At 40.5% G+C, this 14,898-nt stretch overlaps 1 protein-coding gene across 5 annotated transcripts in view; it reads left to right on the top strand.

Moving 5' to 3' along the window:
* Window positions 1-14,898, top strand: part of LCP1 (lymphocyte cytosolic protein 1) — a 56,255-nt gene that overhangs the window by 14,206 nt on the left and 27,151 nt on the right. For 3 of the 5 annotated variants that reach the window (NM_002298.5, XM_005266374.3, XM_047430305.1), the window contains exons 2-6: window positions 8,286-8,373; window positions 8,983-9,146; window positions 9,321-9,450; window positions 11,402-11,534; window positions 13,086-13,167. In NM_002298.5, coding sequence (NP_002289.2) covers window positions 8,310-8,373; window positions 8,983-9,146; window positions 9,321-9,450; window positions 11,402-11,534; window positions 13,086-13,167 — 573 coding nt within the window. In that variant the 5' untranslated portion in view covers window positions 8,286-8,309. Of the gene's footprint in view, window positions 1-7,304; window positions 7,427-8,279; window positions 8,374-8,982; window positions 9,147-9,320; window positions 9,451-11,401; window positions 11,535-13,085; window positions 13,168-14,898 lie in introns of those variants that run through there. The other 2 variants (XM_047430303.1, XM_047430304.1) reach the window with 2 other exon arrangements.

Here is a 14,898-nt window from a genome sequence, read left to right as displayed (position 1 = left end):
TTATTTTTCCCTCAGAGCCTTGTGTTTAACCTTTTCACTTGTTCGTTTTTGATCGTCAGAACTCTTTTCATTGCATTAACTATTTCACAGTAAATTAGCTGTAATCCATGTGCTGCATTTGAAACTTGATATTTAACTGTGGGCTTCATGCCTGAAGCCCCTCACCAACCCCCTAGCAGCCAGGGCAGTACTTTGCATACAGACACATATATGGAGTGAAAGAATGAATGAATGGCATTTGATATCAAGGTAATAGTGCAATCATGGTTAAACAGCTAGCCCATAATATTCAATTTATTGAAAAGATGCATTTGGGGTACTCTGAGCTTTCAGTAGGGGAAAGTCTGGATCTTAAATTGCTTCTGGTAGAATGTGGGCTAAAGGGTAGCTGTAGAATTTAAAGATGTTAGTATCAGGAGCATCACTGTCTAAAGCTCAGGGAAGGAGAGAGATGCTAAGGCACAGAAAGGCCTCCCCAAGCCCCAGCCTGGAGTATCCCCTTTTCTTGCAGGAGGCTTGTTCTTGTGTCACACCCTTAATGGGATTGGGCAACTTGGTAGAAAACAGAGGTATCAGGAATGTACTAAGGGAGAGAAGGAAGGAATGAGAACTCCTTAGCTGGCGACAGAGCCAGGCTCTGTAAGATGTGCTACACAGCTTCAGAAGCCCCTCGGTGTAGTGGTCAAACCAGAGGTACCCAGAGCAATATGAGGTTGATGAAGTTTGGAGTAATCTGGATTGCTAGCTTCCCATAAGTGTTTATGTGGCCTGAGATAATAGTGTCAGAGGAGAGCCGTTGAGTCTCTCCTCCTGAATAGCCTTCCCCCTACCTTCCACCCTGTGGCATTTACATCAGAGCCTGCAGAGAGAAGAATTCTGTAGGCTTTGAGAGAATCCATGTATCTGCAGGGAGAAAAAGGACAATCTGGAGGAGATTCTGACTTGACAAAAAGATTCATCAGAGTCCCTTTAACTGGCCATCTGTTTTTAAGGCCATTTATAATTATTTGGTTTCTTAAAAACAAAGTCATTTTAAAATTATATTTTCTGAATCATCCTTTATGTAAAAGTTAGTCATATCTGTATCCATAGAGATATGATATCCCAAGAATATATAGTAAATTCCATATATTCGCAAAGTAAGATCTCCTACAGTGGTCTACTTTATAAAATGAAGGGGACAGGATTAAGTAAAAGCAATGTTTTTTCCTTAAATAGATTAATCTTGATGGCTTTTTAAAAATGTATGGGTATTTTATTTTGCTTCATAGTCCTACATATTTTATTTTTCGTTTCTTTAGTTGTCATAGTCTAATGCTAAAGCTTACAATATTAATGTTATTCTAGATGATGTGTTCTTTTGGATTACTGATTGTTCTTGAGATGTTTGGAAGTTGTATAATTTCCCCTCTGGAAATGTACTGAAATTTATTGAGGCAGAGCTAGGAACTTGAGTCCTGAGTGTCCGGTTTGACTTTAACTACTGAATCAAGTTGCAGGAAAAGTGGGGCACATTCAAAAGAGTCCCTTGGCAAGGTGATACCAGGTCACAGATGCCTCCCTGATCCTGGCAGGTTATATGATTCAGCATCAGTATATTGAATCAAAATACTGACTAGCCCAGCACTACCATCTTTCAGAAATGATTCCACCCCTTGAGCATCTCTCTCTAGACAGGTCACCTTTTCTAGCCTTTCTGCTTTTAATTATCAGTTATGAAACTCCCCAGAGAAAATTCCATTTACATTTTTACATTTACTTTAGAGGATGTTTTTTCTTCTGTAAATTCTGCAGCACTGTGTTCAAGAGTAAACTCCCACAAATTGTTTCTATATTCAGACTTTAGAGAACTTAAGTTCAGGTACTTTTATGATAACTCATCCTCAGAAATTCCCTTCGCTACTGACTTGGGAAATACCAGCACCCTTTAAGCAGAAACTCAAAACTCACTGATTTAAGAAATGAACAGGCTTTGTGGCTTTTGCAGTTTGAGGTGGGGCTTTTTTTTTCTTAAGGTTTTAAAAATAATATAATTTTTTAAAATGAACAACCAATGCTTTTTTTTTGGCCAACGTCTTGAGATTCTACAACTATTGATTTAATAAATTTAAGTGCTCTCACATGCACTCACACAAAAAACTAGCAGCCCAGACGTGACCTTGATGAATGAGTTGTCTTTTTATAATAGATTTTTGATTTGGGCAGTAATTCAGAAGGGGATTTCCCAGATTGACCACGGATTTGCAGAAGACCTGAAAATGGTTTGTGGCAGGGCATATTTAGATGATGTAGTCATTAAAAAGGGCCACACTCAATGCAGGAGCAGTCGGGCAGAGCTGAAGAAACCACTCACTTATACCTTGGAAGATACATGCTTTCTTTAGCCCCTCCTTTTAAGCTCCAGATGCCTCAGCATGCCCATTACTGCAGCAGTATCTGTATAGTTTGCTGCCTATATGGTGCCAGTAATTTGCAAACTAAAGCCATCACCAACTAATCTTACTTATATTACTTATTAATCTTATAATATTATCATAACCCATATTTTCAAATATGCGTGAATTAAAATGGGTGCATTTTTGTTTTTTTTTTGTTTTTGAAATGGGGTCTCGCTCTGTCACCCAGGTTGGAGTGCAGTGGCATGATCTCAGTTCACTGCAACCTCCGCTTCCTGGGTTCAAGTGATCCTCCCACCTCAGCCTCCCGAGTAGCTGGGATCACAGGCATGCACCACCACACCTAGATAATTTTTGTATTTTTGGTAGAGATGGGGTTTCACCATGTTGCCCAGGCTGGTCTCGAACACCTAAGCTCAAAGCAATCCGTGCACCTCGGCCTCCCAACATGTTGGGATCACAGGCATGAGCCACTGCACCTGGCTCAATGTCTTTCTTAAAAATGATCTGGTCTGCCTGTTTTTACACTAATTATGTCCTCTTCCTGCTGCTTTGCTTTGTGAAATTACTGCCCTTTGCACATTCAGTTTAATTACTTAAAGGTCTCTGCTCAGTTATGGACCTTAGGGGCCCTTTTAATGGTAACTCCATCCTTTTCCTGCTCTGCTCATCAGCACCTGCATTTACAAGCTCCAGCCTGGCATTGCCTTGAGAATTTGTACATGGATAAAACATTTCTTCTCATTAGAACTTCAGTTTCCTTATTTATAAAATGAGGACATTGTAATAAATTATTTATGAGGTTCCTTCTGTCTCCAAAAGTTAGGTTGTGTTTCCAGGATATGCTGCTCATGCTGATGGTAAAAGGGACTCTCTCCAGATATCTATTCATGTTTCTGCCCAACAACAACAAACAGTATCACAGCAATGTCAGTTGCTGATTATCCCTTCTCCACTTTACCTTTTAAACTAAGTTAATCCACTTCTCTTTTGCATTTGCTGTTAAATCACTGAAGCATTTTGGATTTTTTAAATTTAAAGGTGTTCTTGCTGTTTGACTTCTCTGAGTTTATCCTCTCCACTCATAAATCTCGTAGAAAAATATTGTTACAGATGCTCAAGGCTTTTCATCTTGACCTACCTGCTGTGGTTTAAAAATAATATGATTTTAAAATACATGTACTTTCTATGTCTTTTAAATGAATGGGCCACTGCAATTTTTATGGTAAAAAAAATTTCCCATTATACCATGATCTTTAGATATTTTTTAGATTTTCTTTTTTTACCCAACACTGTAATTGTTTTGTTTCTTCATTGGCCCTACTTGTGACACTTAGAATGTAGTCTTGTTCTCTGCTTCTACTTATATTTATCGCTAGCTGCTGATAGCGCTCTAAAATCTAACATTCTTGTGTCAAGGGATAAGGCCAGGTTTAGAGTCAGAGATCTTGTTTGTCCTCCTTACCTTTGACATTGTTCCATGCTTTCAGGATAACTAACTGGGTCAATATAGACGTGCTTACCTAAAATGAAGAATAGCACCTGGCTTATAGTAGGCATTCATAAAATATTTGTTAAATGAATGAATGTATCTTATAATCCCATAAACACCTATGAACCAAGAGGTCTTAAGACATTTAAAAACATGAAGGGCTGGACAGCCGGAGAGCTGGAGAGCCTTCTATTCATGCATATGTGGATATGGTAGAGGGTATAGAAGAGACCTAAGCCAAGTTAGTCACAAGGATTTAGCAAAGTATATTAATACAAAGTTCTATACTAATTCCTTAAAACAGAAGCCTTGATTTCTGAGCACAGGAAAGCAAAAGCTTTCTACTAGAATGACTGGACAAGCTCACTATATTGTAGTTTTAAAAATCTCCCATGGGGCTATCCATAGTCCATATACTTAATAACTCATTGTTTTTTTTTTTTTTTTTTTAATTGATCATTCTTGGGTGTTTCTCGCAGAGGGGGATTTGGCAGGGTCACAGGACAATAGTGGAGGGAAGGTCAGCAGATAAACAAGTGAACAAAGGTGTCTGGTTTTCCTAGGCAGAGGACCCTGCGGCCTTCCGCAGTGTTTGTGTCCCTGGGTACTTGAGATTAGGGAGTGGTGATGACTCTTAACGAGCATGCTGCCTTCAAGCATCTGTTTAACAAAGCACATCTGGCACCGCCCTTAATCCATTTAACCCTGAGTGGACACAGCACATGTTTCAGAGAGCACGGGGTTGGGGGTAAGGTTATAGATTAACAGCATCCCAAGGCAGAAGAATTTTTCTTAATACAGAACAAAATGGAGCCTCCTATGTCTACTTCTTTCTACACAGACACAGCAACAATCTGATTTCTCTATCTTTTCCCCACATTTCCCCCTTTTCTGTTCCACAAAACCGCCATTGTCATCCTGGCCCGTTCTCAATGAGCTGTTGGGTACACCTCCCAGACGGGGTGGCGGCCGGGCAGAGGGGCTCCTCACTTCTCAGAAGGGGCGGCAGGGCAGAGGCGCCCCCCACCTCCCTCCCGGACGGGGCGGCTGGCCGGGCGGGGGCTGCCCCCCACCTCCCTCCCCGACGGGGCGGCTGCCGGCTGGAGACGCTCCTCACTTCCCAGACGGGGTGGCTGCCAGGCGGAGGGGCGCCTCACTTTTCAGACAGGGCGGCTGCCGGGCGGAGGGGCTCCTCACTTCTCAGACGGGGCAGCCGTGCAGAGACGCTCCTCACCTCCCAGACGGGGTCGCGGCCGGGCAGAGGCGCTCCTCACATCCCAGACGGGGCGGCGGGGCAGAGGCGCTCCCCACATCTCAGACGATGGGCGGCCAGGCAGAGACGCTCCTCACTTCCCGGAAGGGGTGGCGGCTGGGCAGAGGCTGCAATCTCGGCACTTTGGGAGGCCAAGGCAGGCGGCTGGGAGGTGGAGGTTGTAGCTAGCCGAGATCACGCCACTGCACTCCAGCCTGGGCAACATTGAGCACTGAGTGAACGAGACTCCGCCTGCAATCCCAGCACCTCCGGAGGCCGAGGCTGGCAGATCACTCACGGTTAGGAGCTGGAGACCAGCCCGGCCAACACAGCGAAACCCCGTCTCCACCAAAAAAATACGAAAACGAGTCAGGCCTGGAGGCGCGCGCCTGCAATCGCAGGCACTTGGCAGGCTGAGGCAGGAGAATCAGGCAGGGAGGTTGCAGTGAGCCCATACGGCAGCAGTACAGTCCAGCTTCTGCTCGGCATCAGAGGGAGAACGTGGAAAGAGAGGGAGAGGGAGACCGTGGGTTGAGGGAGACGGGAGAGGGAGGGGGAGGGGGAGGGAGGGGGAGGGGGAGGGAGAGGGAGAACTCATTGTTTAGTGAATAAATGGATGGATGGGATGTGTGTCTAACAGGAACATGAAGGCAGAGAACCCGAGTAGACAGCCTGGGAGAGGAGAAAAGACTTGGGGATTGGAGTTTTGGCTGCTTCTCCACCCAGCTGAGTGATTTGAGATCTGTATCTTAACTTCTCTGAGATACTGTTTTCTGATCTATACAATGAGAATATACATACCTATGCCATCAGCCTATATTGAAGGACATTGTAAGAAACACAAAACCTGTGTTTACCCCATCCCACAAATGGCCTCTTCTTAAAGCCTGTGTGAAGATTTTGCTGTCAGACATCAGATCTGCTGCCCTAAGAAAATTGGTTTGTCTCATAGATAGTGAATTGTATAACCGATGATACTTTCCTTTTTGCCTTAGCTTCTAGAGAACTTGGAGATAGATTTTCAGCCTACTTGTAGCAAAACATGCGGGGTCTTAGGCATGTATTTTAAGTATTAGAGTTCCTCCCGACCATCATCTTATTTCAGTTACGCTTTCTTTCTTATCAATTACATCATTTAGTTGGTTTAACTCTTGGGTTTGGATATATCTTTGTAACTTAGCTCAAATTATTTTTGGAAAAAGGCATTCTGAAAAAGAAAGAGAGGAAGGAAGGAAGGTAGGAAACAAGGAAGGAAGAAGGAAAGAAAAAAGGACGAGAGGGAGGGAGAGAGAGAGATGACAAGAAAGCCAGATAGCCAGTGCCTGTCTCTTAGGGTTATTGTGATGTGTTAGTGAGATTGTATTTTTAATACAATTAACCCCTCGACAGTTTCTGTCATCCTTTAAAAGATCCAATGTACCAATACTTTCTTAGATATGTAAGACAATAATAAAATAAAATTTTTATTGATATCAAAAATATATTTTTAATGAATACATTTAAATTTAAATGAAGACATATATAATTCTATGATTTTCAAATCATGCTCCCTGGAGTTCCCACAGATGAAGGTGACAAGGAGATAAGATAGCAGGGGCAGGGGTACATTTGGGTTTTTTCAACCAAAGACTCTCAGAGTTGTTATTTTTATTTGTTTGCTTACATGTAAGGTTTACATGTAAGGTTTCTGTCAACAAAGGGTTGCTTGGTGGAACAAAAGTTTGAAACCACTGATATATGTATGTGGCAGGATGGTAATTTGTTGGATAATGGATATGGATTTGCAAAATTGAGTGTAATGCATTTTTGGCCTACAGGTTTTGATGTTAATTAAGACTGTTTTCTGTTTGGTGTGGTTGTTGGTGGCCATCAAGAACAAATACAGCACTATAGAATAATATGAAAATATAAAAAAGAAATCTACTGAAAACAACATCCTGTCACAAATTTTTTTTTAAATCGATAACTTCCCTGAACTATCCAAAATATAACTATGCTTAGAAACACCCCAACCCCCACACTCCCACTCCACTTATCCCCTCTGCACCAGTAAGTTCAACAAACTTCAGTGGGTCTCCGATTTGAAACATGCTGGTGTGGATTAGCTAGGGGCATGGAGATTATCATCCATTTTCTGTTTTATTTTCTTCTCACCCACTAGAGGGCAGCAGTGATGCACAGGAAAAGGGAAATTACTCAAGCACTGTTTCTCAGCAAGACTGTCGCTTTTCTGAGAAGAAAACACCTAGAAAGCGCCTCAGATTCCCATAGCTGAATTATGAGAGGGTCAGCTTCCCTTTGTTCATCCCTAAATAATATGGAGAATTTTGATTAACTTCCTTTGAAGTTATAAACTGTATCTGTTGGCTTGGTCAAATACTAATTTTAAATATGAACACGAAGATACCTCTTAAAAAAGACATTTATGTAAAAGTGAAGTGTTTTAGTTGCTTATTGCTGGGTAACTACTCTAAAACGTAGTGACTTAAGACATCACTCGTTTTGTCTTCTCTGTTCTTTTGGTTGACTGAGCACAGCTGGGCGATTCTTCTGCTTAATGTGATGTTGGCTGGGAATGTGGTCATCTAGGAGCTCAAATGGGCCAGAAAGCCCAAAATGGCCCTCTCAGGTTGCTGGCATTGATGCTGGCTGTCAGATGGGATCTCAGCAGGTTTGTTAACCAGTGCACCCAGTTCTCCTTCATTGGCTTCTTTATTTATGTGGCTTAAATGTCTCATGTCATGGAAATTGGGTACCAAGAGGGAGCATCCTAAGAATGAGCATTCCAAAAAGAAGGAAGCAGAAGTTTCCAGCCCCAGACATCATTTCTACCACCCTCTAATGGTCAAAGCAGTTAAAAAACCAGCCCAGATTCTAGGGGAGGGAAATAAGCTCTACCTCTTGATGTGAGGAGCAGTCTGTATAGACCGAGAGGGAAGAAATTGTTGAGAGCCATCTTTGGAGACCACCACATGGAGGATTGAGAAAAAGCGTATTTCTGACTTACATTTTGGAAAGATAGTTCTAAATCATGGGGGATGCAGAAGAATATTTCTTCATGTAATAAATGGGAATTGCTTCTTAATGTGGTATTTTAAGAATTCAAATGCACAAAAGTTATCCCTTATGTTCTTCTTCTCTCCAGATCTGTTACCTAAAGCAATAAAAAATGGCCAGAGGATCAGTGTCCGATGAGGAAATGATGGAGCTCAGAGAAGCTTTTGCCAAAGTTGGTGAGTAGACCTGGTACCCCAAATTGCATCATTCTCTTCTTCACTGAGTAGCTTCAGGGTAGATTCAATGAAATGGGAACATGAGCAAAATTTCAGAGATGACAAGAAACCAGTAGTATTTGTTTAGAGGAGCTGGGAGAACTTATTTTTGAAAAATATGCTTCAATAAAATGACTTTCTCTATCAAAACATGGAATATGGACTCTACTCTTACATAGTTTGTTCCTGGAAATGGTTTGTAAGTCTCATCTTTTATATCTTGTCTTCTGTTTTGCTGTTTCCTTGATTTTAATACCATCACATACTTTCTCTTACTCTTTATCACTAAACCTGTGGTTTCCTTAAGAGTTTCTATAAGAGTTCTTTGTGGAAACAGAGGTACCTTATAGAAATTATGACTCTTTTACTGTGGATGTTGAAAGTAATGCTGGTGCCCCTATTCAGTAGCAACAGTCATCTTGTGAGATTCTGACTCTTCCCTGGGATCATGCCTTAATGTCTGAATGATAGCCTCTCTCGTCCCTTCACCTTCCATCTAGTCTTCCCTCACCTCTCTAAAAGCTGTTGCCTGAATCGTCCTGAAGCTTCAGTATATTGTGTACATTACAGATACTGATGGCAATGGATACATCAGCTTCAATGAGTTGAATGACTTGTTCAAGGCTGCTTGCTTGCCTTTGCCTGGGTATAGAGTACGAGAAATTACAGAAAACCTGATGGCTACAGGTGATCTGGACCAAGATGGAAGGATCAGCTTTGATGAGTTTATCAAGGTGAGTACCATGCAGAATACAAGGAGACACATTTGAAACTTGGAACTTGAATTCTGTTTTAAAAAATATCCAGAAAGACATTCCTTACCTCCTTGCTTCGACATTACATATTCTTTCCTTTGTGATTTTCTTGATCACTGCTTGAGTTTCTAAAGATACATTATATTTTTGCAGATTTTCCATGGCCTAAAAAGCACAGATGTTGCCAAGACCTTTAGAAAAGCAATCAATAAGAAGGAAGGGATTTGTGCAATCGGTGGTACTTCAGAGCAGTCTAGCGTTGGCACCCAACACTCCTATTCAGGTAGGCTCAACTCCTGGGTTGGAGCAGGATTTCAGGATTACAGATTCTAAACTTGGTATTCAAACCTAAGGGATGTAAACAAAGACAGAAGCAAACACAGCTTTATGGATGACTCCCAATTTTCCTGTGACTAAGTGGGTCAGTTCTGGGTACATAATATAGGAGCAGTCCTAGCTCTGGGTAGGGTCCAATACAAAATGATTTGATCAGCATTTAAACAATCATTAAAGGCTGCCCAGATTCCTTTCTAAATCTTATGGACAAAATTAGCTACTCAAGCTTCTATCTTTAAACTTCATGATAATTTTTAACACCTGCTAAGTGATCAAAAAATTATGTTTTCATTGATTTGGAATAAATTTGTAAATTTATTCCGAAGGCTGCCATCCAACAGCCATAATGGAAACTTCCAACAGGCCAAACAGTATAGTTGTTGCAACATTTCCAAAACTGAATTATTCAAAACGTTAGTTGATCTTAAAGATAAACTCATGAGGCCGGGCACAGTGGCTCACGCGTGTAATCCCAGCACTTTGGGAGGCCAAGGCGGGTGGATCACCTGAGGTCAGGAGTTAAAGACTAGCCTGGGCAACATGGTGAAACCCCGTTCTACTGGGTGCAGTGGCGCATGCCTGTAATCTCATCGACTCGGGAAGCTGAGACAGGAGAATCGCTTGAGCCCAGGAGGCAGAGGTTGCAGTGAGCCGAGATTGCACCATTGCACTCCAGCCTGGCGACAGAACAAGACTCTGTCTCAAAAAAAAAAAAAAAAAAAAAAAAGATAAGTCATGATTAAATACCATCTATAGTTGCTAAGACAACGTTTGGCCTTTTGTTTTTAAATACAGGAATTTTCAGAACCTTTGCTGGGTCAAATGTGCAATGTGAATCTTTAAGGCGGAGATACATTCACTACACAGTATTTCCCAAACTTTTATGACTCAGGATTTCTCTGAGGGACACTACTGTTTTCAAAAACTGTCAGTTTGGGAAACATAGTGCTAGGCTGTGAAGACATAACTTGAGTTTTTATTAAAACATCTAAAAATCACCTTCTGGCAGCTTTACTGTTAGGAAAAAAAGATTATATCCAAATGATTTTATTTTATAGCAATTTAATTATAATTGTATCAAGAAACTCAGAGGTACAATAAGGATTGTCCACAGTGATCCAACATTTAAACCAGCAGAGCTAAAAGCGGAATCCTGAGTTTTGTCCTGTAAGCATTATACCACATTTGTATTTATATGTGTATATATATATGTATACATGCACATATAAATAAAATATTTTTATTATTTATGTATTTATATATAGAAAATAAACATATGTATATATTTGCTTCTAAATGTAAATATATATCTGGATTATGCGTATATATAGGAACAGAGAGATAGTTTTGGCCGGGCGCGGTGGCTCACACCTGCAATCCCAGCACTTTGGGAGGCTGAGGTGGGCAGATCACGAGGTCAGGAAATCGAGACCATCCTGGCTAACACGATGAAACCCCGTCTCTACTAAAAATACAAAAAATTAGCTGGGTGTTGTGGCGGGCGCCTGTAGTCCCAGCTACGGGGGAGGCTGAGGCAGGAGAATGGCGTGAACCAGGAGGCAGAGCTTGCAGTGAGCCGAGATCGCGCCACTGCACTCCAGCCTGGGTGACACTGTGAGACTCCATCTCAAAAAAAAAAAAAAGAAAAGAAAAGAAACAGAGAGATAGTTTTTAAATCTGTTTGCTCTATGTTTTATGACTTGGAGTACACAGACTCAATGCCTATTTCCCAAGTGATCTGAGATTTTTAAATCTTAATAAATATGAGATGATAAGATAATGGACTGAATAAACTCACATCTCTCTGCTGGGAATGAGAATTTAAGATCCACATGCATAATTTTGTTTATAATAGAGTTTCACTTTGCAAATGAGTCACTTTAATCATTTACTTGCAGAGGAAGAAAAGTATGCCTTTGTCAACTGGATAAACAAAGCCCTGGAAAATGATCCTGATTGTCGGCATGTCATCCCAATGAACCCAAACACGAATGATCTCTTTAATGCTGTTGGAGATGGCATTGTCCTTTGGTAAATAATACTTCTTTCTTGGTTTCCAAAGAATTGCCCATTTTCTAGACCATCAACAATTAATCGTTATTTATCGTAGGCCAACTTTGTTTGGTGCTCAGCTGCACCTAGAAGGCTTTTCTGGACTTTCACTTGGCCAGGTCCAGGACAGCAAACTAAATTCAAAAACAATTTATAATGAGAAATGTAAAATTGCTATTGCTTGAGTGGAGAGGAGGGATAAACATTATAGAGATAAACATGGAAGATATAGTTATACCAAGTCAAAAGCATTAGATGTCTAATCAATGTATTAGATAATTAAGTGGGGGAAACTTATAAAATACTGATTAAATAATGACTATAGAAGGACATTAAAAAGTTTATCTGATGACAAGTTTAAAGTATAAAGTTGGATCAGGCATCAAGCGGAAATGTAGACATTATGTAAGCTCAGAAGTACATAGATAGTCTCTTCTATAATGAGGACAATTTTCCTGGTTATATATTTTTGGAATATATGCTGCTTGGCTTCATCTGAGCGTGGCTCACCATGAAAGCAGATAGAATTGATAATAGCAGCAGGATGATGGAAGAAGTCCTTAAACTGTAGTCCTTAAGCAAAGAAACCTTTGAGTGATGCACAGAAATCCACAACTCAAACATTGAGGACACCTGGAAAAGGGGGACTGCATCCTACCCACGGGAGGCCTCTAAATATGGTGCTGCTCAATGCAACGTGGTGTCTTTGAAAATACCTCTGTAGCTCTTGCTTCAGCAGGTTCTCTGTCATCACAGGCCAAGTTGTAAGTGAAGTGACTTGAGGTGCTCAATATGTGAGGGACTCAGGACTTAAAGGATAACAATGGGTGGGAAAGACATTGAGCTTTCTCCTCTGCTCTGACCAGAGCAATTCTACTTTTGATATTTTATTTATTAGTTTGTCCTGAGAATTCATTTTTAAAAGGTTCAATTGCTATAAAAAAATCAAAATTCTAGCTTTTAGGTTGCCACCCAAGGCACCCCATGGTCTTCCCCCAATCTGCTAGTTTTACCTTCTAAGACCCCTGTGACTCATTGGTACTCAGCCTAGGGCACTGAGAAGGATATAAAAATGTTATCATATGATTAGCTGAAGATACAAAGTTTGGTCCTGTGTCAAATAGAAATGTAGACAATAATAAGCTCAGAATTTTGTAGACAGTCTTTTATATAATGGGGACAATTTTCATGGCTAAGAAAATAAAGTACTTATGGTAGAATTACTTTGGTTATCCACCCAGAATTTCCTAATGTGCTAAGAAAATCAGGATAATTTTGCAGCTGTTTAGGTGGGAGAATGAAGTGGGGTCCTCATTTCCAACCTCAATATATGAATGTGGCTTCAGTAGTATTCACCTTTCCCGCAGATAGTTTGAGTCTAGTCAAACGGCATAACTGATTTTATATCTAAACATCACAGATTCTGTTGCTATCTTCTTTGATTATGGTATTGCTAGAATTTAAATTCAACGTTACTGGGCTCTGTTATTCAGAAGACTGCTTTCTTTAATTTAATTGTTTCTCTTTCAGTAAAATGATCAACCTGTCAGTGCCAGACACAATTGATGAAAGAACAATCAACAAAAAGAAGCTAACCCCTTTCACCATTCAGGTATGTCTTCCCACCGTTACCATAATACAGGATTTGTTTGGCATCAATGAGCATCATAACTGCTGAGTCCGCCTTTTTCAGGGGCTCAGACATCATTCGCAAAACCCAGGCTTTGGGCTGGTGACTTGTCATACTTCAGGGATAAAGGGATACATTTCTGAGCAGCAAAGAAGGGAGACTGGTGGAGTGGTAGCAGCTGGGGCTTTGTATGTTTGTTTTGGCCACTTAGGAATAAAATTCACTTTGGCTAAAGTTTTAACTCAAGCTTTCCTTAGCAATTTATCTTTGATTTGATGCCAAATAAACAGCATTTTAGATGAAAACATAAGCCTTTCTAAGAAGCGAGGGGGTGAAAAACGGGAAGTACTCTGGCAGCCTTCATAGTAATTTTGGCCACAGCCACGAGTATAATAAATATAACTTGCTTTTATTCCATCAATTTGTTGATTAACTGGAATAGTAACCAGCAGTAAGTGTATTTCTGTGTTGTGTTCCAATATTTTAACATTATCATAATTCTTTTGCTAAGAAACCATATCTAACTTCTTAAATCATGAACGATACATTATCTCCTGTGTGGATTTAAGCAACCTTGTGTACTTTAAAAATGGAAATGGTAACCAAATTGAGAACAATGATTAAACACATATGAATGCACTTAATGTTAAATTTACTCATAATCTTGACCATATATAGAAACAGTATTTTTCACTCATCATTTAAGCACTAGAACAAGGACCCACTTTTCTTCTGATAGTTCTTTTCCTAATTCACTGGCGGCCTTTGCTTTGTTTTTAATTTGCCAATTAAAACAATTTCTATACATCTCTGACATTGATATCTCTTCCTTTTTAAACTCAAGAATAGTACATACAGAGTCTGGACTGAAAACTCCCTTGACTCTATCTCGACTATATGTGAGTTACATTACCTGCATTGTTGTTACTCATAAGAACATAGAATCTATGAGTATGTGTGTGTATACTCAGGTTCCCTAGTTATTACAGATACTCAACAAATCAACCTAGCAAAAACCATTCCATCTTTTCCAGGAATTTTAATCGTATCTATTTTTCATTTTCGTTTTCTTTTTTTTTTTTTTTGAGATGGAGTTTCACTCTTGTCGCCCAGGCTGGAGTGTGATGGCATGATCTCAGCTCACCGCAACCTCTGCCTCCTGGGTTCAAGAGATTCTCCTGCCTCAGCCTCCCGAGTGGCTGGGATTACAGGCACCTGCCACCATGCCCAGCTAATTTTTGTATTTTTAGTAGAGATGGGGTTTCACCATGTTGGTCAGGCTGGTCTCAAACTCCTGACCTTAGGTGATCCACCCGCCTTGACCTCTCAAAGTGCCGGGATTATGGGCATGAGCCACCGTGCCAGCCTTTTCATTTTCTTAACACCCAATCTTCAAGTCAAAAAGCTCTTCTGCTACTCTCTTTTATGATCTTGATTTACATCAACAATTGTCTTATTCATGATGGCCAGTGACAGGACAATGACTTTCTCAAAGGTGTCCCTTTATTTTTGGCCAATAGAGATGTTTTGTGTGTCAGCTTCATCACAGAGCAAGATGGAAAAATATAGGCCTCATCAGTCTCATGCCAACCAGAATGGGCCTTCAACTTATGGTGCTGGTTTGATTGAATGGACCACTGCATGAGTGGTCGGTGTCTGGGTTACTGGATTTTCTCTTCTGGTTATGAGTCACTGTTTTTTTCTCAATGTTAA

Source organism: Homo sapiens, chromosome 13 (genome assembly GCF_000001405.40).
Source record: "Homo sapiens chromosome 13, GRCh38.p14 Primary Assembly".
In the NCBI taxonomy this organism is placed as follows: Eukaryota; Metazoa; Chordata; class Mammalia; order Primates; family Hominidae; genus Homo; species Homo sapiens.
The sequence above is the reverse complement of the archived record's forward strand: the minus strand, read 5'-3'. Positions and strand labels throughout refer to the sequence as shown.